This window comes from Homo sapiens, chromosome 11, assembly GCF_000001405.40.
Source record: "Homo sapiens chromosome 11, GRCh38.p14 Primary Assembly".
Lineage (NCBI taxonomy): Eukaryota > Metazoa > Chordata > Mammalia > Primates > Hominidae > Homo > Homo sapiens.
The window spans coordinates 9,850,884-9,874,106 of NC_000011.10; the positions used below are offsets into that span (position 1 = coordinate 9,850,884).

The following is a 23,223-nucleotide window of genomic DNA, read 5'->3' on the forward strand; positions in this document are numbered from 1 at the left end:
CCAGCACTTTGGGAGGTTGAGGCAGATGGATCACCTGAGGTCAGGAGTTCGAGACCAGCCTGGCCAACATAGTGAAACCCTGCCTCTACTAAAAACACAAAAATTAGCTGGGCATGGTGGCAGGCGCCTGTAATCTCAGCTACTCAGAAGGCGGAGGCAGGAGAATCGCTTGAACCTGGGAGGGGGAGGTTGCAGTGAGCCGAGATTGTGCCACTGCACTCCAGCCTGGGCAACAGAGCAAGACTCCATCTCAAAAAAAAAAAAAACAACAACAAAAAAAAACCCAGAATACATAGATTAGTTAAAAAAGCAAGTTAGAAACCAGAATGTACATTATAATCCCATTTTTGGAAAAAGAATAGGAATTGTAAGACTGTGAACCCAACTGTTAAAGGCAATGGTATCACAGTTAAGGGTGGAGGTGGAGGTAGTATAGGGAGGACTGCAGGGGACTTTCACTTTCTACAATGTGTATTTCTTTTATGCTCAAATTTATACAAAGAACATTATTACTTTTGAAATTATTTGCACATTATTTTGTTTTTCAAGAAAACAAAAAATATGGACGAGCTTTTAACTAGACCTGTCCTTGGCCACGTAATGAACATTTACACAACTCAGGAAATTCTGACTCAGTAACCATATAATACATTCCTCTGAAGAGTTTAGGGCTAGGAAAAAAAAATCTCTCCTGAAGGTCTAATATGTTTATTTTTTACTAAGCAATAAAAACTAATCAGCACTATTATTTTTGTTGGCTCTAGTGAGTTTAGAGCTAAATGTAAAGCCAAAGTATAATAATCGCTGTGTCTCAGGTTTCTGATAGAATTATATTCCTACCTACCTGCCTTCCGCTCACTCCTTTGACTAAATGAATGAATTTACCTATTTATTTATTTATTTATGAGACTGGGTCTTGCTCTGTCACCCAGGCTGGAGTGCAATGACATGATCTCAGCTCACTGCAGCCTCAACCTCTTGGCCTCAAGTGATCCTCCCACTTCAGCCTCCTGAGTATCTGGGACTACAGATAACACCACCACGGCTGGCTAACTTTTACATTATTTTTTGTAGAGATGGGGTTTCATCATGTTGCCCAGGCGCTGGTCTCAAACTCCTGGGCTCAAGTCATCTGCCTGCCTCGGACTGCCAAAGTGTTGGGATTATAGGCGTGAGCCATGGCTCCTGGCCTCAATTTGTTTTTGTTCTATTATAAAGTTCTGTTATATAGGCAAGAGGGTCCTGAACCATAGTCTACTGGCGCCAGACTACAAAGTAATCATCTGAGAGCCTTGTTAAAATACAGATTCCCAGACATGTTCTGGGGTACTCCAATTCAGGAGGCTGGGGTTGGGTCCAGGACTCTGAATTTTTAATAGACTTTCCAGCTGTTTGGGATGTATAGTCAGATTCAGAAACCTGGGTTTTTTATGATAATTGCCTTAAATCCTTTTTGGTGGTGGGGGAGGGGGAGAAAATAGGCACAGTATAAAATCTTGGGTTGGGCTTAGAGGTTAGAAATGTTCCTAATTTATGCCCTGCCTATAAAAGTAGACTCAATGAGAGGTTATTATTGCTCCTTTGTTGAATCTAAGAAAAGATTCTGTTCCTATTTCAGTATCCTTTTTATAAGGTTCTATATGACACACTTCTCTGACAGTTTAACATATCATTAAAACTGGAGTTAGTGTCTGTCAAAGGTTAGGTGAACATCCTTTCCTGGCACACAGCAGTCTATTGTTTGTTTTTAAGAAGAGAGGCTATACCCTGAAAGCATGTAGTCTGGAATTACCTTCTGAATAGGCGGAAGTCTTCTGCTTTCTCGATGTACTGCTTCTAGGGTCTCAATGTGCATAGCTACAATTCCTAGGATGAGTCAGAGTATTCAAAATGAAAGAACACAGACAAGCAGGATAAAAACAAATTCTGGATATTTTAGAATTAAAAGTTAATTACAGTTTACTGGTTCCTCAAAAAAGTTAAAGAGAATTACCATTATGACCCAGCAATTCCACTTCTACATATATACCCAAAAGAAATGAAAGGACTCAAACAGATACTTATATGTGGATATTCATGTATTATTATTTATAATAGCTAAAAGGGAGGGAGAAGTAACTCAAATGTCCATCAACAGATGAATGGATAAAATGTGGGACAGCCATACCATGGAAAGTTACTCAGCCATAAAAAGGAATGAAATTCTGATACATGCCACAACACGTATGAACCTTGAAAACATTATACTAAATGAAATAAACCAAACCCAAAAGTACAAATATTATCTAAGTCCACTTATGTGAAATATCTAGAACAGGCAACTTTATAGAGACAGAAAATACATTAGAAGTTACCAGGGGAAACAGGAGTTACTGCTTAATGGGTAGAGTGTTTGGGGTAATAAAAAAGTTTTAGAAATAGATAACAGTGATGGCTGCACAACATTGTAGATGTAATTAATGCCACTGAATTGTACACTTAGATTATTTTATGTTATATATGTATTTTACAACAATTTAAAAACATTTTAAAAACTAATCAGAAAATAAATAAATAGCATGGCTGAACTATAATGGAAGACATGTATTGCCAGGTTTTATGCTGAAACTCAATAATCTCCAATATTCTGATTCTCTAATATCTGCAGAGTGATTACCTGGTATCATGCAATGAAGGCTCTTGATGTGATCCTGAGTAACTCCACTCTCTGTACAAACTTTGTCAATAAATCGGGTAATGAACCGCACAACAGAATTGGCAATGTCAGTATTCTCTGAATCTTCAAACCCACTCTCTGTATCATAGCTCTCAGCTACACTTCCTGCAATACTAAGACAGTCAAGGAAAGAAATCATGGTCAGTACTTAAATGCAACAAATGACTACTATATAGTAGTCAATTTACATAGCGACAGAAACATGAGCAAAGTGATGTCTACTCAAGTAGAAGGCTCACTTAACTCCATGGCTCCTTGGTAAGTGATGGTGATAAAACACAATGTTCTACTAGTCTACATTTGGAAACTACTGTCAGGCAGTAAGTTTCTGTAAGGAAATTTGTTTGGACCCAGATTTGTTTCTGTAAGGAATACCTTTAGTCACTCTCCCAAAAGGAATGCAGGAACCACAGAAAATAAAGCAAAAGAGGATTTTTTCATTTATTATGGACTACCTGGGCCTTCTAAAGCAACCTGTCCTCCCAAGTTAATTATTACATAGAGAACAAGTAATACAGCTATCTTTGGCTACTTGGCAACTGAGGAACATGTTCCCTGGTAGGCAAAGTAAGAGAATTTTTCTCAGCAACAAGCGTACTCTTCCATATGTAAGGACCAAACTGTCCCTTCTCTTGCCAGGATTTATCACTCTCTGAGTTAACTGCAACCCATTTGGCCACTTTGAAGCCAGCATTCTTCTGTAGATGATAAAATCATGCAAGAGAAGGGAACAAATTTGAAATGGAACAGATGTGAAAGCTCAATCTCTGCCCTTCTTGCTTATTCAGCTCTTACTGTTCAACCCATCAGACTCTGGGAAAAGACTCATTTGTCTGTTCCTATTAACTTCTCTTTTCTGCAAAGCCAACCACATTAGCTGAATCAGTGTTAGAGATTGTTAAAGTAAAGCTAAGCAGAGACTATGGCCATCAACATGCAGACTTTGAGAGAGCACTGTCATCTATAATGATTATTATTTGTTTATATTTATTTATTTATTTTAGAGACAGGGTCTCACTCTGTCACCCAGGCGAGAGTGCAGCGATGCTAGCTGTAACCTCAAACTCCTGGGCTCAAGAAATCCTCCTGCAGCAGTGATTCTCCAGCCTCAGCCTCTCAAGTGGCTAGGACTACAGGTGTGTGCTACCACACCTGACTAATTTTTATTTTTTGTAGAGATAGGGTCTCACTATGTTGCCCAGGCTGGTCTTGAATTCCTGGCCTCAAGCAATCCTCCCACTTCGGTCTCCCAAAGTGCTGGGATTATAAGGTAGTCAGCCCCATGCCTGGTCCAAAACTTTAAAAGAAATGTAAAATATAGTTATTGCTTGTTATAATGAAGATGAACGTCACTGGCAATGGAGAATGGAGATAAAGCTGTGACAGCTAAGGAATATCTTACAAATTAAACAGATAGGTCCTGTATTGAAACAGAGTCTTGTGGAATTATGAGTAGTGAAGGAATGGGAAAGCATCATTTCGGGAAGATCCTTTTGGCAGTAGAAAGAAGAATAAAAAATGAAACAACTAAGAGACTGTTATAATTAGGGCTTGAAGTGATAAAGGCCAGACTATGTTGTTCCCATTAAATAACCAGAGGATGAACAAGAAACTCTATATGGGTGGGGGTAAGAGATCTGTGCAGTTGACTGTATGGTGTGAAATGCTGATTCCAAGTTGTCTAGCCTGGAAGACCAGAAACTCTGAGGTGTCCCTGACAAAAATGAAGTACCTAGGATAACAAGATTAAAAGGTTTGGGCCAGAGATTTAGGCTTGTGGATGAGTCTTCCACAGAGTAAGAAGAGCTTGGAAGAGGAATTGAGAATGGGAAGAGAAGAGGAGCTGCCTGAAGGAGCATGAGGAGAAGAATTTATGCGAGCTCGAACTACCAGGATGTTGCGGCACCCATCACTGAAGCTCTAAGGATAGAATTTCACTACTGTTGGGTTGATAAGTTCATTTATTCACTCATTTAATCATCTGTTCAACCAAATATTTATTGAGTACTATATGCAAAGACACTAGGAATACAGCAATGAACAAAACTGACAAAGGAAACATAACAAGCAAACATATGAAAATAAATCAGGTTGTAAAAAATGACATGAAAGACAATGCAAAGTAGGAGAGGGAGAGGTATTATTAAGATGCAGAAGTCAGGAGGGCTTCTTGAGGCAAGTAACATTTGAGCAGAGACCTAAATAAAGTGAGGAAGTGATTCTTGGCCTGTTTAGGTGAGAATATTCCAGAATGAAAATACCAGTACAAAGGATGTGAGGCAGGAATATGCTTGGAGTGTCTGAGGATTAGCATGAGCAGGGAGACCAGTTTGGTTGACAGAAGAGTGATAGGAAATAGGGGGTCAGAGCAGTAGCCAGAGGACGGATTCCGTTAGGCCTTGCAGGCCATGGTAAACACTGGGTTTTAGTTTCAGTGGTATGAGAAGTTACTGGAGGGTAGAGAGGAAGGCATGGTTGAGGGTATGACTACAAGGTTGAGGAAAAGGAGGGCTGAGAAACAAACAGCCACTTTTGCAAGAAGGTGCTCACTAATTTCTTTGGAATGATTTCTGTAAATTGCTTTGGCAGACAGTAACTGAAGGGCTGGATCAGTAATGGGTGAGACATTTGGAAAAATTAGGTCATAAAAAAGAAGAAAGTGTGGGAAGTGGTTAAGAATAGTAGGATGAAGTGAATCTTTTAGAAAGAAAAGCTGAGCAAGTCCAAAGGTGAGGAAAAATGGTTAACTTTTGAAATATGTACAGCAGTATTTGCTCAAAATGTTTAATATTATCTGTCAAGCCAAGACTGGCCCCAAGAAGAGTAGGAGGAGGGTCTGTGTGTTCACATTTTGGTACCTGTTTGTGACAATGCTGTTGCTTCCGCTCTCCCAGTCACCTGGCGCTGATGTTCTTAGGAGCTTGTTTTTACTTGTGTCGAGTGGAACTAGCAGGTTCACCATGAGGTTTGCAAAGTGAATGGCCTGACTAAAGACAGTGCTTTCCTCATGTTGCACTAGCTCTTGCTGAGTTGACTTGCTCAGGGTAGGCCAAAGGCGTAGTTGCTCAGCTGCCAGGTCCATTGCTGTCTTCTCCTGATAATGGTCATCAGGAAGCTTATCCTAAAAAATAAAGCAACACAATCCAAAAGAGAACCATCACTTCAGGTGAGCTTAAAAAACATAGATTTTTTTTTTTTTTTTTTTTGAGACGGAGTCTCGCTCTGTCACCCAGGCTGGAGTGCAGTGGCACGATCTTGGCTCACTGCAAGCTCTGCCTCCCAGGTTCACGCCATTCTCCTGCCTCAGCCTCCCGAGTAGCTGGGACTACAGTCACCTGCCACCACGCCCAGCTAATTTTTTGTATTTTTAGTAGAGACGGGGTTTCACCATGTTAGCCAGGATGGTCTCGATCTCCTGACCTTGTGATCAGCCCGCCTCGGCCTCCCAAAGTGCTGGGATTACAGGCGTGAGCAACCGCGCCCGGCCTAACATAGATGTTTTAAATAACTATTCTATTAAATGCTTAAATCAGCAAAAATGAAAACATAAACATAACATAACAACCACAAAACAAAACCTAGTCTTCTTTCCCAGATCCAACAGGCCTTGAGTGGAACTATGTGACAAACCTCAGGAAGCAGCAGCAAAGCACCTTATAGCTTGTGAAGAGCTGGTATGTCTATGGTCTCACTTGTACCTAACCTAGGGCTGGCTCCGGGATAGACTTCTTTAGAATGGCTGACAAAGAAGCAGTGACATGTGTTTGCTCTATGAATGCTTTCGAGATGTGTCAATATTAACATTACATCTGCTTAAAAAATGATCAAAAGCACCCCCGAAGCCCAGTAAATTTCTGGAGTAGAATGATAATCAGCCGTTAAGGCTGCTTTAAGTTCAATTCATGAGGATGATAGTTTCTAACACTTATTATTACTGCATACCATGTACTCTTCAATGCACTTTATATATGAGACACTAAAATCTCATAATAATCATATCCATTTTACCAGTGAAGATATAAGGCACAGTGAAGTAACATGACTTGCCCCAAACCAGAGAGCTAGTAAATGATGTTTTAAACTTTCAGAGTATTTAAAACTACTCTTTCAAATTAAAAACAATTTTCTTGATTTTTAAATTTTTTTGATATTTTTCATAAAAATATTTTATGCTGATAAAACATAGAGAAACATGTAGAATATTCCTAGAAGAAGACCTAGATTTATTACTGGCATTTTTTTAATACAACTACCAAATTTTACATTTATTTTGGAGTTAATTAACTTTAATTTGACATTCCTCCAGGGAAGTTAGTTGCATAGAGAAGTATGCCTGTTATTTTAGGTTTGTTCTTTCTATTCAACTTCCTATAGTCATTTCCAGGAAATTCTTATTTATTAAAGTATATTAAAACAATCCTAGTGCTGAAGAACTGTATTAAGAAGTTATTATGGAAAAACATAATGTCTGAAATCAACAGAGGAAAGATATCACAGGGCTCCCTAAATAAAACCCAAATACACTGGCAGGAAGTAGCTAGAGTTTTTTTTGCCCTGGGAACATCTGCTTTCCTTAAAGCCAGAATCCTAATCCCACACAATTAGAGTTCTTTTCTTCTCTCTTACCTTTTGCTTCAGATGCGGGGCATGATTGTCTTCCTTGGCTGAGAGATAAAGGGAGCGAACCTGTTCCTGCACTGCATTGTAAAAGGTTGTCTCCCAAAATTGCTGATTTGTCCAAATGGGGTGGTCTTGTACACACGTGTAAGCAAACTGGCTGACTCCAGGGGCAAGTTTCTGTGAGAACACACAAAATACATCATCATGGGGCTGGCAGAATTATAACAGTTCATAAGGTCACAGGGGCCACAGTTAATCATAGATGAGATCAAAGGATTTCTCTAAAGAATATCGTATGGTAGTACAGGCTTAGCAATCAGCAACTTACTCCTTTTTAACTGGCAACTGTGGGCTTGCTGTTGGATCCTTGAGAGTCTCAGTCACTTTATCAAAATGGGTATTTTAGTAACAGCTAAAAATCAAAGCTGTTATTATATCAATTAGAAAATACAGGAAAAGGAGGCACTGTAGGTTTAGTGAATATTATTACAATTAGGGCATATAATAAAATCCATCACGATGTAAACATAAAACTCCAGATAATTTAACATTTCTTCTATGGCTTTAGGGTACTCTTTTTAAAGAGACAGCAACTGAAATATGAGTGAACCTACAGCTTGGCCTTACACACAGAATGAGGATATAGCATGAATTAGGGACTCAGGAGAACTGCACTTTTCCTACTGCTCATTCCAGCCCATTACCTCCCCGCCAAAGCTGTTGCCTGGCTCACATACTCTCTAGAAGACTGCCCTGGGCTTCAAGGGCATTTTCTGGTAACCAAATTTGTGCAGGGAAAGATAAACACAAACCAAACCTCCTTCCTTTCAGGGACTTCCTGCTGGGTTTCAGCGTAAGAGTAAACTTAAGAGGTGATTAACAACAGAGGGAAGGAAAATGAACTCTGCAGGCATTTAGAAGGCACTTCATATATATTTAAGTTTGTTTAGTTCCAAAACCCCTGCTCTTTTTATAACACCAAATTGTCTTTCAAAAGAACTGAAAGTAAATCAAAATAAATGAAATGCCAAATTAACTGCCAATTAGCACTTCTGTTTTCCCCTCACTTTATGATTTTGTTTCCCAAAGTAATATTCTACCTTGGAACCTCTGAAAAAAACTTGTATAACATTGCATTTTAAATTTTAATGATAATTTACATTGCCAAATTTCAGTTAGTGACTTGAGTCAACTTTCCAAAACTATTTCTGCCACCTCTAAAAGCTAAGGATGTTTCAAATTTTTAAAAATTCATAATTTTCCAAGAAAGAGTAGGTACCATTTTCAATAAACATTTTTTGGCCCATTTTATTCTTTGGAATTGAGTTCATCTGTTTTCTGTGAGTAGAACTAAAGTTTCTGATAAGTTTTCTTTCGAAGCAATTTAATAAGCTGAGTGTCTTCTCCTGAAATGCTGGACACTGAAGATGATTACTAAGGTTATATAACTGTTACACAACAAAAGTTGGTTCATTTCTTAGGGACGTATACCAGATATATAAGACATCTGGTAAAAATTACACGCTCAATACATGCTAATCTCCTTTTTGGTCTAGAACTGCATACCACGAAATGTAGTACCTGTGTAGTTAGAAGCTGGGTGGTTGTGATTTTGCCTTAAAGAGTCTCTGTGTACTACATGCCATCTGTAAGACCCTTTCAAGATAGGACTGTGTTACTGCTGCTGAGGTAACTGGCTATAACCTCAATTCTCCCTATTAAGTGGCTGTAAGTTGTGGCTATGAAGCAAAAATCAGGAGTTCTTTGAGGGTGCACAGGGATCATTGTTGGATTTCATTATGCCTATCTGCTCATTTAAGAAACAGTTACTGTCTACCTATGGGAAATCATGAACAAAATGTGTGTGGTTTTGTGAGTGCGTAAGCAGAAGCCACACACACTGAATCACAAGCTCCTTCTATACTCTGCATGAAGACACTTGGGACATGGATTACACACTTTTTCCTCCTTCATTTTTTAGTCCTTTACTGTAAGGACCAACAATTGTTTCAGTAGCAGTACACAAGCCTATTTTGAAACAGTTTTTTTTTTTTTTTTTTTGAGACAAGGTCTGGCTTTGTTACCCAGGCTGGAGTGCAGTGGCATGATCATGGCTTACTGCAGCCTCAACCTCCCAGGCTCAAAAGATCCTCCCACCTCAGCCTCCCTAGTAGCTGTAGTAGCTGGGACTACAGGTGTGCTCCACCACACCCAGCAATTTTTGTAGCTTTTTTTTGTAGAAAAATTTGAACCTGGGAGGTGGAGGTTGCAGTGAGATGAGATGGGGTTTTTGTAGAGATGGGGTTTCATCATATTTCCCAGGCTGGTCTTGAACTCCTGGGCTCGAGTGATCCACCTGCCTTGGCCTCCCAAAGTGCTAGGATTATAGATGTGAGCCCCCATGACCAGCCTGAAAGAGATTTTAAAGGCACTAAATTCAAATGAGATAAAACTGTAATTCTCAACTGCCTTTACCATGAGTATACTCAGGGCAGTACCATTTCTTACAAATGCAGCATAACATAATCAATGGCAACTCTAAAAATGTTGAAGTCTTGAAATTATATTCATATAGATAAACTCCAAAAAACTGAGCTTTTAACAAATCCTTATCAGATTCTCACAAAGTACTTTTAGGATAATCAGCATGCCAAAAAAGTTATTAATTAAACATCTTTTATTAAAACTTAACAGAGATGTACAGGAATCTGAGGGTGTAATGAAGCCCCACCTTTCTTCAGTATTTTTCACACTGATGGTGTATATTTGCTTTCCTTGGCACATTTGAGTTGACATTACAGGTTGAATGTCCCTTATCTGAAATACTTGGGACCAGAAGTGTTTCTGATTTTGGAATATCTGCATCATATTTACTGGTTGAGCATTCTAAATCTGAAAATCTGACATCTGAAATGCTCCAATGAACATTTCTTCTGAGTATCATGCCAGCCCACTACAAGTTTAGAATTTTGGAGCATTTTGAATTTTCTTTCTTCTTTTTGGAGACAGGGTCTCACTCTGTCACCCAGGCTGATGACAATCATAGATCATTGCAGCCTAGAACTCCTGGGCTTAAGGGATTCTCCCGCCTTAACCTCCTGAGTAGCTAGGACTACATGCATGTACTGCCATGCCTGGCTAATTTTAAAAAATGTTTTTTGAGGCCAGGCACAGTGGCTCACGCCTGTAATCCAAGCACTTTGGGAGGCTGAGACAGGCAGATCACTGAAGGTTGGGAATTCAAGACCAGCCTGGCCAATATGGTGAAACCCCGTCTCTACTAAAAATACAAAAATTAGCTGGGTGTGGTGGCAGGCACCTGTAATCCCAGCTACTTGGGAGACTGAGGCAGGAGAGTTGCTTGAATCTGGGAGGTGGAGGTTGCAGTGAGCTGAGATCGCGCCACTGTACTCCAGCCTAGGCAACAGAGTGAGACTCCATCTCAAAAAAAAAAAAAAAAAAAATGTTTCTTGAAACAGGTTTTCACTATGTTGCCCAGGCTGGTCTTGAACTCCTGGCCTCAAGCAATCCCCCCACCTCGGCCTTCCAAAGTGCTGGGATAGGATTAGGCCACCAAGTGTGGCCCAAATTTTTGAATTAGATATACTCAACCTGTATCTTCATGTTTATGCACAAACTAAAAGTTGAATATGCAAAAACTAATCTAAATAGTTTGAGCAAAAGTGGGACTATATATGTTCCAAGGAAGAAAAACGGTGCAAGACAGAGTGACAGTGGCCCAAAGGGTCAGAACCCACAGCCTGTTTACTAGGTGAGCATTACAGCAGGGTGAAGTGACTATAGTACAAACACTTGGTGGCAAGACAGACACAAACGGCTATGGCATCTGTGATAGTGGCAGTAGTCTTAGTAAACAGAGAAAATAAGTGCCTGCAGATAAAATGATCTCCTGATATGTGCGTTAGAAATCATTAACCCCCAAATACTTAAAATATTATTCTTTTTCTAGACATGCAGTTTGCCTTCTTTCTTTGTGGTTTCTTGCTTTGTCTGGTCAACCACAAGCAGGGAGCACTGTGTCCCTCAGTGAGGATGGGCAGGGCCATTCCACTGATGGGTGTTCTCAGGACCAGCAGAGGGCAGTATCACTTTATTCTGCCTAGACTCCATCATGGCTTGATCTACAAATTGCAAAAATGGAACTTTGCAGTCAGCTTGGGCTAGAAAGTGGGTGGTAAGGTAAATATTTCAGGTGTTCACTGTGCATTTGAGAGAATCTATAAAGAAAGAGAACTGTTCAGGGTCATATGGTAAGATGAGTAGAACAGATGGGAACAGAAATAAAGCTTTCCATTACTCTACGTTGTTTCTGTAAGATACAAAATGAACATATTTTACAAAACAAACCTGTAATATAATTATGTAGGGAAAGATGTAATGAGACTTTAGGGTTTCAAATTCAGTATAACCTGGGACAGTAGCAGTAATTTTAGTAAACAGAGAAAATAAGCATCTATGGATAAAACTATCTTCTGATTGTGATAATTTATTTAAAAAAATTTTTTTTATTATTTTGTGTTTATTTTATTTTTTTGATTCTAATAATTTCTCTGGTTTGAAGAAAAACTTTCCCAAGACAAGATGGTTTTACAAATTGGTCTGTATACTAGCATCATAATCTTTTAATATTGCACAAAGATGAGATTTAACTCATACTGAGGGTGTGAGATGGTGGTGCTGGTTGGGAATGCTTTTGTCAAATCACATCTCTCTTTCATTCTCTTCAATTCTGGCAACAATATTTACATTTCATAATAATTTTTAAGATTCTGTCCTAAAAAAAAAAGTGGTATTGTGCCATGCAATTTTATGAGATGTTTAAGAATGTGTTGACTTCCTTCTTTATCTAGAAAAAACAGCCCGTGAAGGTACTAGATTAAGCAATGCCATTCATTTTCCACAAAGCTTTCAAAGGAAACCCAGCATGGGACAGGATATGAAGAATAAACTCATGGGGCTCACCAACCAGCAGGCCAGATTCAAATCCAAATAAAGGATGCAAATCATCTGAGAGATGAGATGGTTAAGGGAAAGGTTAAGATATCAGCATGAGGGGCCTGTTGAAGGCCTGTCTGGCTAGACATGTTAGTTCCCCAAGCTCAAGGCTCTCGTTTGGGAGCTCAGGGAAAACCAGATTTCAGGAAAGAAGGCTAGCTGGCAGGTCTTTTCCATAAACATGTAATGGTCTTAAAGAATAATAGAGAGATTCATTGTCTAAATTGCTGGAGATTTCCTATCTAGTTCTGGTCCCTGGAATATAAGTGTACCTAACTAACTGCACAATTCAGGGATGGTGCTAGCAAGTCCTCCTGTGATTCTGCTCTGGCCTGACCAAGTCCAGATATTAAATCACTTTAATAATTAATTTTAGAGCATTTTCTGATGAAATTGGGAGTCTTTCTTTTGCTTAGTCTTGAGAGACAAACAAAAGGAAGACAGGAATAGAAAAAATTGTATCCAAAACCTGGCTTTATCAAATCTTAAACATATTTGCTTTGTCCCTCCCTCTCTCTCTTTTTTTTTTTTTTTAAAGAAAGGACATACAATACATACAAGTCCACTGTATACTTCTCCTGATTCTATTTCTCTCCTATCCTAGAGGTAACCATGATCATGAATTACATATTATCATTCCCATTTTGTTTTTTACCTGTGTATGTCCATAAAGAATACATAAGTTATATTGCAGGTTTTATTCTATCCCTTATTGATGCTTTTCATGTATATAACTCATATTTCATCTATTTATGTGACATCTAACAACTATATAATTAATCAGGAACAAAACACAACTGGCTTATGTAAACATACAACTCAGTTAGCAGGAGCAGAAAGAGAATGGCCTATAAGCAATGAGTATTTAGGATATTATGCTCATTAGTTAGTGGGATTTACAGAATAGTGAGTAATCCATTTAGTTAAATGGGATGACTATAAGCATCTTCTACAGTTTTTCCTGTTTTACTACCTGATACTCAGATTGAACAGTACAAGTATCCTTAAACTCAGAATGGTCTATAACCCTTCTAGATTGCTCAGATCAAGGCATACAATTTCTGCACGAGAGGTATATTCATCCACCAGCATTGTCCAGTATTCACTTGATGTGCCAGATTCTATAAATGTCAGTAGTTGGGATGAATGGATTGAAGTCCTTTTTTATCAAGACATAGTCTCGCCTTGTGACCCAGGCTGGAGTGTAGTGGCACAAACAAGGCTCACTGCAGTCTTGACCTCCTGGGCTCAAGCAATCCTCTTGCCTCAGCCTCCTGTGTAACTGGGACCACAGGCACACACCACCATGCCTGGCTAATTTCTGTATTTTTTGTAGAGATGGGGCCTCACTTTGTTGCCTAGGCTGGTATCAAACTCCTGGGCTCAAGTGATCCTCCCGCCTCGGCCACCCAAAGTTCTAGGATTAATGCCATGAGCCACCAGGCCCAGTTGAACTCTGTTTTTAAACCATTTAGCCTTCTAATGATTCTGTGTCTTAAGTTGTTTAGTAAATATTAAGAGTTCAGAGGATAAATCAATTTCTTTCCTTTGTGGTCCAGAAATTGGTAGACATCAAATCCAAGACTGTTGTCAAGTCCTTTGCCTGGGTTTGGTGGTCTCAAAAATATAAGATATAATCTAAATTCTCCCAATCCTCCCCATTTTTGGCCAGTTTTTATTTATTTTTTTTTTTGAGACAGGGTCTCACCTGCTGCCCAGGCTACAGTGCAGTTGGCACAATCTTGGTTCACTGCAGTCTCAACCTCTGGGGCTCAAGTGATCCTCCCACCTCAGCCTCCTGAGTAGCTGAGACTACAGGTGTGCATTACCATGCCTGGCTAATTATTAAACAAAATTTTTGTAGAGATAGGGGTCTCACTATGATGCCTAGGCTGGACAACTTTATACAAGTAGTACAATGTTGTGTTTCATTCTGCAACTTGGTTTTTCATGCATTATGTTGTTAGATTTATTCAGGTAATGAGAATTATCTGACAACTAGAAATATCTCTGTAAAAAATATTTAAAATAAGAAAAAATTATTATAACCAACCTGTACTGAGTATAATACATTCTCAGTATAAATATTTACTGATTCAGTTAGTCCTCACAACAATCTTATGACCCACTGAGATAAGTACCATTATTTCTCCTGTTTAAAAATGAGGAAAAAGCCGGGCGCAGTGGCTCATGCCTGTAATTCTAGTACTTTGGAAGGCTGAGGCACGTGGATCACCTGAGGTCAGGAGTTCAAGACCAGCCTAGTCAACATAGTGAAACCCTGTCTCTACTAAAAACATAAAAATTAGCTGGGTGTGGTGGCACATGCCTGTAATCCCCAGCTACTTGGGAGGCTGAGGCAGAAGAATTGCTTGAACCTGGGAGGCGGAGGTTGCAGTGAGCCAAGATTGTGCCACTGCACTCCAGCCTGGATGACAGAGCAAAACTGTCTCAAAAAAAAAAAAAAAAAAAAAAAAAAAAGGCGGGAGGCGTTGGGGGGCGAAACTGAGGCAAAAAGAAGTAATTTGCTCAAGGGAACACTGATAGGGAGTGACAGAGCCAGAGATGGGATTTGAACCCAGCCAGTTTGGCTTATAGAGTCTTGTTTTTCAACTACTGCACAATTTAACTATTGTATGGAATTCCATGGTATGAATATACAGCATTTTCTTGTTTCTGTTAATAGACATTTGTATTATTTCCAACTGTTTGCTATTATAAACACTGATGCATAAATATCATCATATATTTCAACTGCCAACTATTAATTATTGGTTTCAGTACCATTTAGTAGGGCCTGGAAGTACTTGACACGGGTCCCAGTAAATGTGGTAATTCTCATTGTTATCTATACCAATAAGCATTTTGGGGTTATTGCATATTGGTTATTTTTCTAATAAGAAATTATTTCATGCAAATATTTTGCAAATCCACTATTTCAAAAAATTAACAATAATTCTTTAATATCAGGAAGTCCTAGCCTTAAACAATCTTAAAATTCATATGGAAACACATAAGACCCTGAATAGCCAAAGCAATCCTGAGGAAAAAAAAACAAAGCTGGAAGCATCACACTATCTGACTTCAAAATATACTATAAGGCTATAGTAGCCAAAACAGCATGGTACTGCCATAAAAACAGACTCATTGACTAAAAAAACAGAATAGGGAACCCATAAATAAATCTATGTATGCATAGCCAACTGATTTTCCACAAAGGTGCCAAGAACAGATACTGGGGAAATAACAGTCTCTTCAATAAATGGTGTTGGGAAAACTGGATATCCATATGCAGGAAAATGAGACTAGACCTCCATCTCTCACCATATACAAAAATCAAATCAAAATGAATTAAAGACTTCAATGTAAGACGTGAAACTATGAAACTACTAGAAGAAAATATTGGGGAAATGCTGCAGGACATTGGTCTGGGCAAAGATTTCTTGGGCAAGACCTCAAAAAGCACAGGCAACAAAAGCAAAAATAGACAAATGGGATTACATCAAGTTAAAAAGCTTCTCCATAGCAAAGGAAACAATTAGCAAACTAAAGAAACAACATACAAAATGGGAGAAAATATTTACAAACTATCCATCCATCCAACAAGGGATTAATAACCAGAGTATACAAGGAATGCAAGCAACTCAATAGCAAACAAACAAACAAAAAAAGGGCAAATGATTGAGCAGACATTTCTTAAAAGAAGACATAAAAATGGTCGACAGGCATATTAAAAAATGCTCAGCATCACTAAACATCAGGGAAATGTAAATCAAAACCACAATGAGATGGGTACAAAAAAATAGAATAAGACCTAGTATTTGATAGCACAACAGGGTGACTACAGTAATTAATGGTTTAATTGTACATTTAAAAATAACTAAAAGGGTATATAATTGGATTGTTTGTAACACAAAGGATAAATGCTTGTGGGGATGGATACCCCATTTTCCATAAAGTGATTATTACATAATGCATGCTTGTATCAAAACATTTCATGTACCCCATAAATATATACACCTACTATGTACCCACAAAAATTACAAATTAAAAAACACAAGGAGATATTATCTCGTCCCAGTTAAATTGAAAAACACAAGGAGATATTATCTTGTCCCAGTTAAAGTGGCTATTATAAAAAAAAGAAAAAGTAACAGATGCCGGTAAGGACACAGAGAATGGAGAATGCTTGTACACTGCTGATGGGAATATAAATGAGTATAGCCATTATGCAAAAACAGTAGTGAGATTCCTTAAAAAACTAACAGTAGATCTACCATACCACTGCTGGATATATATCCAAAAGGAAGAAAACTAGTATATCAAAGAGATTACATTTATTATAGCGCTATTCACAATGGCCACGATATGGAATAAACCTAAATGTCCATCAACAGATGAGTGGATAAAGGAAACATGGTATATATACATAGTGGAATAATATTCAGCCATAAAAAAGAATGAAATCCTGTCATTTGCAGCAACATGGATGGAACTGGAGGTCATTATGTTAAACGAAATAAGCCAGGCACAGGATAAATATCACATTTTCACACATATCTGGGAGCAAAAAAAGTTCATCTAATGGAAGTAGAGAGTAGGATGATGGTTCCAAGAAGCTGGGAAGGGCTACTGGGAAGGGGGAATAAACAGAGGTTGGTAAATGGGTACAGAAATACATTTAGAAGGAATAAGTTCTAGTGTTTGACAGCACAGCAGGTGATTACAGTTAACAATAATTTATTGTATATTTCAGAATAGCTAGATTTGAAATGTTCCCAACACAAAGAAATGACAAATGTTTGAGGTGATGGATATTCTAATTACCCTGATTTGACCATTACACACCGTATACATGTATCAAAATATCACTTGTACCCCATAAAAATGTATACTTATGTAACAATAAAAATTCTTTAATATCAAATATCTAGTCATTGTTCAAATTTACAATTGTTTTTTAAATGTAAAAAAGTTGTTGGGGCGCAGTGGCTCACGCCTGTAATCCCAGCACTTTGGGAGGCTGAGGTGGGTGGATCATGAGGTCAGGAGATTGAGACCATCCTGGCTAACACAGTGAAATCCCGTCTCTACAAAAATACAAAAAAAAAAAAAAAAAAAAAAAAAAAAAAATTAGGCGGGTGTGGTGGCGGGCGCCTGTAGTCCCAGCTACTCGGGAGGCTGAGGCAGGAGAATGGCATGAACCCGGGAGGCGGAGCTTGCAGTGAACTGAGATTGCGCCACTGCACTCCAGCCTGGGCAACAGAGTGACAGACAAAAAAATAAGTAAATAAATAAATAAAAATAAAAAAAAAGTTTGTCTTTGTTTTTCTGTTATTTTTACAATCAGTTTGCTTAACTTGAGTAGGAATTAAGGTCAAATAAGGTCTACATATTACCATTAGTTTGTATATTGCTAGCATCAATTTTATTCTAGTTTCTTTTTCCACCTGCAATTTATTTGCTGAAGAAACCGGATCATTTGTCCTAGAAAGTTTCCATCAGTCTGACTGCATCCCAGTGGTGACATCTGACACATTTCTTTTGTCCTCTGTGTTTTCCTACAAATTAGTAGTTGAATCTAGATGCTTGATCAGACTCAGGCTTGTTTGGCAAGAGTACTTCAGACAGTACTAGCCTGAGGGGTAGCACTCACCGGGCACATCTGTTTGTCTCTCCTTTTGTTATGTTAGAGGATGTTGATTGTCAATGCCCAGATTTGTTAATATTAGAAGTTGTAAAATTGTGATATTCTAATTCTAGCATTACTTCCTCACTCATTAGTTAGAGTACTTCGATCAAGAGAAACTTTCCCTTATCAACTGTTGGTGAACCACAGGCATAGCCTGTATTAGAAAAGCAGGATAAATATTTGATTCTATCCCTTTGTTTAACAATTTTAAAAGCAATAAGTTGTTTTTCTAGTGTCTACCACAGGTAACCAATTAGTTTGGTTTTTAAAAATTAATATCTCTATCAACCCATAAATTTTAAAACATATTCGATTCACTATTAAATTATTCTTAAATCTGTTTAGAAACAAACCCTCCCAAAAAATCTATCCATAAGAGTTCCCTGAAAATTTTTTTTTCTTTTTTTTGGAGACAGAGTCTTGCTTAGTTACCCAGGCTGGAGTGCAGTGGCGCGATCTCAGCTCACTGCAACCTCTGCTTCCTGGGTTCAAGTGGTTCTCGTGCCTCAGCCTCCCGAGTAGCTGGGATTACAGGTTCATGCCACCATGCCTGGCTAATTTTTGTATTTTTAGTAGAGACAGGGTTTCGCCATGTTGGCCAGGCTAGTCACGGTTCAACATATGCAGATCAATAAATGTGATATATCTCATAAACAGAACTAAAGAAAAAAACCACATGATTATCTCAATAGATGCAGAAAAGACCTTTGATAAAATTCAATATCCCTTCATGTTAAAAACTGCCAATAAACTAGGTATTGAAGGAACATACCTCATAATAATGAGAGCCATATATAACAAACCCACAGCCAATATTATACTGAATAGGCAAAAACTGGAAGCATTCCCTTTGAAAACCGGAACAAGACAAAGATGCCCTCTCTCACAACTCCTATTCAACACAGTATTGGAAGTTCTGGCCCAGGGCAATCAGGCAAGAGAAAGAAATAAAGAGTATTCAAATAGAAAGAGAGGAAGTCAAATTATCTTTGTTTGCTGATGGCATGGTCCTATATCTAGAAAACCCCACTGTCTCAGCCCAAAAGCTTCTTAAGCTGATAAGCAACTTCAGCGAAGTCTCAGCATACAAAAATCAATGTGCAAAAATCAGTAGCATTCCTATATACCAACAACAGGCAAGCAGAGAGCCAAATCATGAATGAACTCTCATTCACAATTGCTATAAAAACAGTAAAATACCTAGGAATAAAGCTAACAAGGCAAGTGAAGCACCTCTTCAAAGAGAACTACAAACCACAGGTCAAAAAAATCAGAGAGGACACAAACAAATGGAAAAACATTCCATGCTCATGTATTTGAAGAATCAGTATTGTGAAAATGGCCATACTGCCCAAAATAATTTATAGATTCAATGCTATTCCCATTAAACTACCATTGACATTCTTCACAGATTTAGAAAATACTATATTAAAATTCACATGGAACCAAAAAAGAGCCTGAATAGCTAAGATGATACTAAGCAAAAAGAACAAAGATGGAGGCATCATGCTACCTGACTTCAGACTATACTACAAGGCTACAGGAACCCAAACAGCATGGTATTGGTACCAAAACAAATATGTAGACCAGTGGACCAGAATACAGAACTCAGAAATAAGACCACACACCTACAACCATCTGATCGTTGACAAACCTGACAGAACAAGCAATGGGGAAGGGATTTCCAATTAATAAATGGTGCTTATAGCTATATACAGAAAATTGAAACTGGACCTCTTCCTTACACCTTATACAAAAATTAACCTGGCCGGGCACAGTGGCTCATGCCTGTAATCCCAGCACTTTGGGAGGCTGAGGTGGGTGGAGCACAAAGTCAGGAGATTGAGACTATCCTGGCCAACATGGTGAAACCCCGGCTCTACTAAAAATACAAAAATTAGCTGGGTGTGGTGGCGCACGCCTGTAGTCCCAGCTACTTGGGAGGCTGAGGCAGCAGAATCGCCTGAACCCAGGAGGTGGAGGTTGCAGTGAGCCGAGATCACGCCACTGCACTCCAGCCTGCCAACAGAGTGAGAATCCGTCTGAAAAAAAAAAAAAAAAAGTAACTCAAGATGGATTACAGACTAAAATGTAAAATGCAAAACTATCAAAAACCCTAGGAGAAAATCTAGGCAATACTTTTCAGGATATAGGCATGAGCAAAGATTTCATAATGAAAGCACCAAAAGCAATTGCAACAAAAGCAAAACTGACAAATGGGATCTAATTAAACTAAAGAGCTTCTGCACAGCAAAAGAAACTATCATCAGAGTGAACAGAAAACCTACAGAATGGGAGAAAATTTTTGCAATCTATCCATCTGACGAAGATCTAATATCCAGAGTCTACAAGGAACTTAAGTAGACTTACAAGAAAAAAAGACCCCATTAAAAAGTAGGCAAAGGACATGAACAGACACTTCTCAAAATAAGACATACATGTGGCCAACAAACATATGAAAAAAAGCTCACCATCACTGATCATTAGAGAAATGATAATCAAACCCACAATGAGATAACACCTCACACCAGACAGGATGACGCTTATTATTATTATTATTATTATTATTATTATTATTATTTTGAGATGAGTCTCACTCTGTTGCCCAGGCTGGAGTGCAGTGGCGCGATCTCGGATCACTGCAAGCTCCGCCTCCTGGGTTCATGCCATTCTCCTGCCTTAGCCTCCCAAGTAGCTGGGACTACAGGTGACCGCCACCATGCTCAGCTAATTTATTGTATTTTTAGTTGAGACGGGGTTTCACCGTGTTAGCCAGGATTGTCTTGATCTCCTGACCTCGTGAACCGCCTGCCTCAGCCTCCCAAAGTGCTGGGATTACAGGCATGAGCCACCGTGCCCGGCCAGGATGATAATTATTAAAGTAAAAAAACAACAGATGTTGGTGAGGTTGCACAGTATAGGAACACTTTTACACTGTTGGTGGGAGTGTAAATTAGTTCAACCCTTGTGGAAGACAGTGTGGTGATTCCTCAAAGATCTAAAGGCAGAAATACCATTTGACCCAGCAATCCCATTACTGGGTATACGCCCAAAGGAATGTAAATCAGTATATTATAAAGATACATGCATGCATATGTTCATTGCAGCACTATTAACAATAGTAAAAACATGGAATCAACCCAAATACTCATCAACGATAGACTGAATAAAGAAAGTGTGGTATATATACACCATGGAAACTATGCAGCCATGAAAAGGAATGAGATCATGATCTTTGCAGGGATATAGATGGAGGTGGAAGCTATTATCCTCAGCAAACTAACACAGGAACAGTAAACCTAACACTGCATGTTCTTACTTATAGGCGGGAGCTGAAAGATGAGAACACATGGACACATAGGGAAGAACAACACACACTGGGGCCTGTCAGAACATCAGGAAGAATACCTAATGGATGCTGGGCTTAATACCTAGGTGGTGGCATGATCTGTGCAGCAAACTACCTTGGCATACATTTACCTCTGTGATAAACCTGCACATCCTGCATGTACCCCTGGACTTAAAATAAAGGTTGAAGAAAAAAATAAGTAAAAATTAAAAAGTCTAAATACGTGAACAGAGATTTCACCAGAGATGATATATTGATAGCAAATACAAACATGCAAAGATACTCAATATTATTAGTCATTAGGGAAATGAAAATGAAAATCACAATAACCTACTACTTCATATCTACAAGAATGGCTAAAATGACAAACACTGACGTGTGGATCGGAGGAACTGGAACTCTCATACACTGCTGAAAAGAATATAAAATGGCAGTACTATGGAAAAAATGTATTTTTGGCTGGGTGCAATGGCTCACATCTGTAATCCCGGCACTTTGGGAGGTTGAGGCAAGTAGATCACTTGAGATCAGGAGTTCGAGTAAATAATAATAATAAATGCTAAGCCAAATAACCAAAAGAAACCTCTGAATTCAGAGTTCAACATAGTTGTGTCTGAAAAGTACATCATAAAAGAAGAACAGGGACCTCTGTTTTTGTAATAAACTGTAATCTTTATATTTCTGAAATGTATACATATATGCCATAGATCATGAGGTCAGGAGATCGAGACCTTCCTGGCTAACACGGTGAAACACTGTCTCTACCAAAAATACAAAAAATTAGCTGGGCGTGGTGGCACACACCTGTAGTCCCAGCTACTCAGGAGGCTGAGGCAGGAGAATCGCTTGAACCCGGGAGGTGCAGGTTGCAGTGAGCCAAGACCGCACCACTGCACTCCAGCTTGGGCGACAGAGTGAGACTCTGTCTCAAAAAAAAAAAAAAAAAAAAAAAAAAGTTACTAAAAAATGCTCTATGTAGTTTGTCACAAAGGTTTAAAGTGATATGGATTAGTACAGCATAAAAATATTGGTTCACAACCACAAATGGTGGTTATAGTCATTCACCACAGTCTGAGAATTCAAAAGATATGTTATGGAAACAAAGCTAAGAAGATTATGGTGTATGCTGCTAACTTCATTTCAGGGCAGCTCTAGCACATGAAAGTAAGAAGATCCACTTAATATGTATTTAGTAAACAGAAGCAGCAGCCAGGGGCTCAAGGGATAGTGGGGGCAGCAGCATAGTTGCACAAGGTCATGGTACAACAGCAGGAAACCCACATAGGCAGACATAGATAACTGGGAAATAGAAGTATCTGCCTAGGTAGAGGAACAGTGAGCAGTTTTAGGGATCTGCATGAGCAGTGAGGAGGCATATACCTAGAAAGTTGGCTATTATTTAGCTCCAAAGAGCTTTCATTTAGTAGTTCAGCACTATATTAGGATTTAAAGAAAAGACAAAAGTAAGTCCCTTGAAAGAGCATATTTCTGGCCGGGCACGGTGGCTCACGCCTGTAATCCCAGCACTTTGGGAGGCCGAGGCGGGTGGATCACCTGAGGTCAGGAGTTCGAGACCAGACTGGCCAACATGGTGACACCCCGTCTCTACTAAAAATACAAAAATTAGCCGGGCCTGGTGGCAGGCGCATGTAATCTCAGCTACTCGGGAGGCTGAGGCAAGAGAATCGCTTGAACCCGTGGTCTCTCAAGAGATGGAGGCTGCAGTGAGCCGAGATTGAGCCACTACACTCCAGTCTGGGAGACAAGAGCAAGACTTTGTCTCAAAAAAAAAAAGAGCATATTTCTTTCCTTGTGTGACTGAGCTTTAGA

The 23,223-nt window shown here is 38.9% G+C and overlaps 1 protein-coding gene and 1 long non-coding RNA gene across 12 annotated transcripts in view, besides 2 other annotated features; one reads left to right on the top strand and one right to left on the bottom strand.

Moving 5' to 3' along the window:
• The window catches only part of SBF2 (SET binding factor 2), a 526,174-nt gene that overhangs the window by 72,216 nt on the left and 430,735 nt on the right, over positions 1–23,223 (bottom strand). For all 11 annotated transcript variants that reach the window (NM_001425069.1, NM_001425070.1, NM_001424318.1 and 8 more), the window contains 4 exons: positions 7,343–7,513; positions 5,575–5,837; positions 2,657–2,829; positions 1,793–1,866 (listed from right to left, as the gene is read on the bottom strand). In NM_001425069.1, the coding sequence (NP_001411998.1) occupies positions 1,793–1,866; positions 2,657–2,829; positions 5,575–5,837; positions 7,343–7,513 (681 nt within the window). The remainder of the gene's footprint in view (positions 1–1,792; positions 1,867–2,656; positions 2,830–5,574; positions 5,838–7,342; positions 7,514–23,223) is intronic.
• Positions 1–23,223, top strand: part of LOC101928008 (uncharacterized) — a 90,122-nt gene that overhangs the window by 11,742 nt on the left and 55,157 nt on the right. The gene's annotated exons all lie outside the window — the stretch shown is intronic.
• Positions 4,925–5,024: an enhancer, noted in NCBI's record as "active region_4426". NCBI's record gives its function as "activates an Ori minimal core promoter by ATAC-STARR-seq in GM12878 lymphoblastoid cells {active_cell/tissue: GM12878}" and the evidence as "EXISTENCE:reporter gene assay evidence [ECO:0000049][PMID:35858748]".
• Positions 12,035–12,594: an enhancer, noted in NCBI's record as "OCT4-NANOG hESC enhancer chr11:9884465-9885024 (GRCh37/hg19 assembly coordinates)". NCBI's record gives its function as "activates a minimal SCP1, AML or CMV promoter by ChIP-STARR-seq in primed H9 embryonic stem cells {active_cell/tissue: H9 hESC(primed)}" and the evidence as "EXISTENCE:reporter gene assay evidence [ECO:0000049][PMID:30033119]".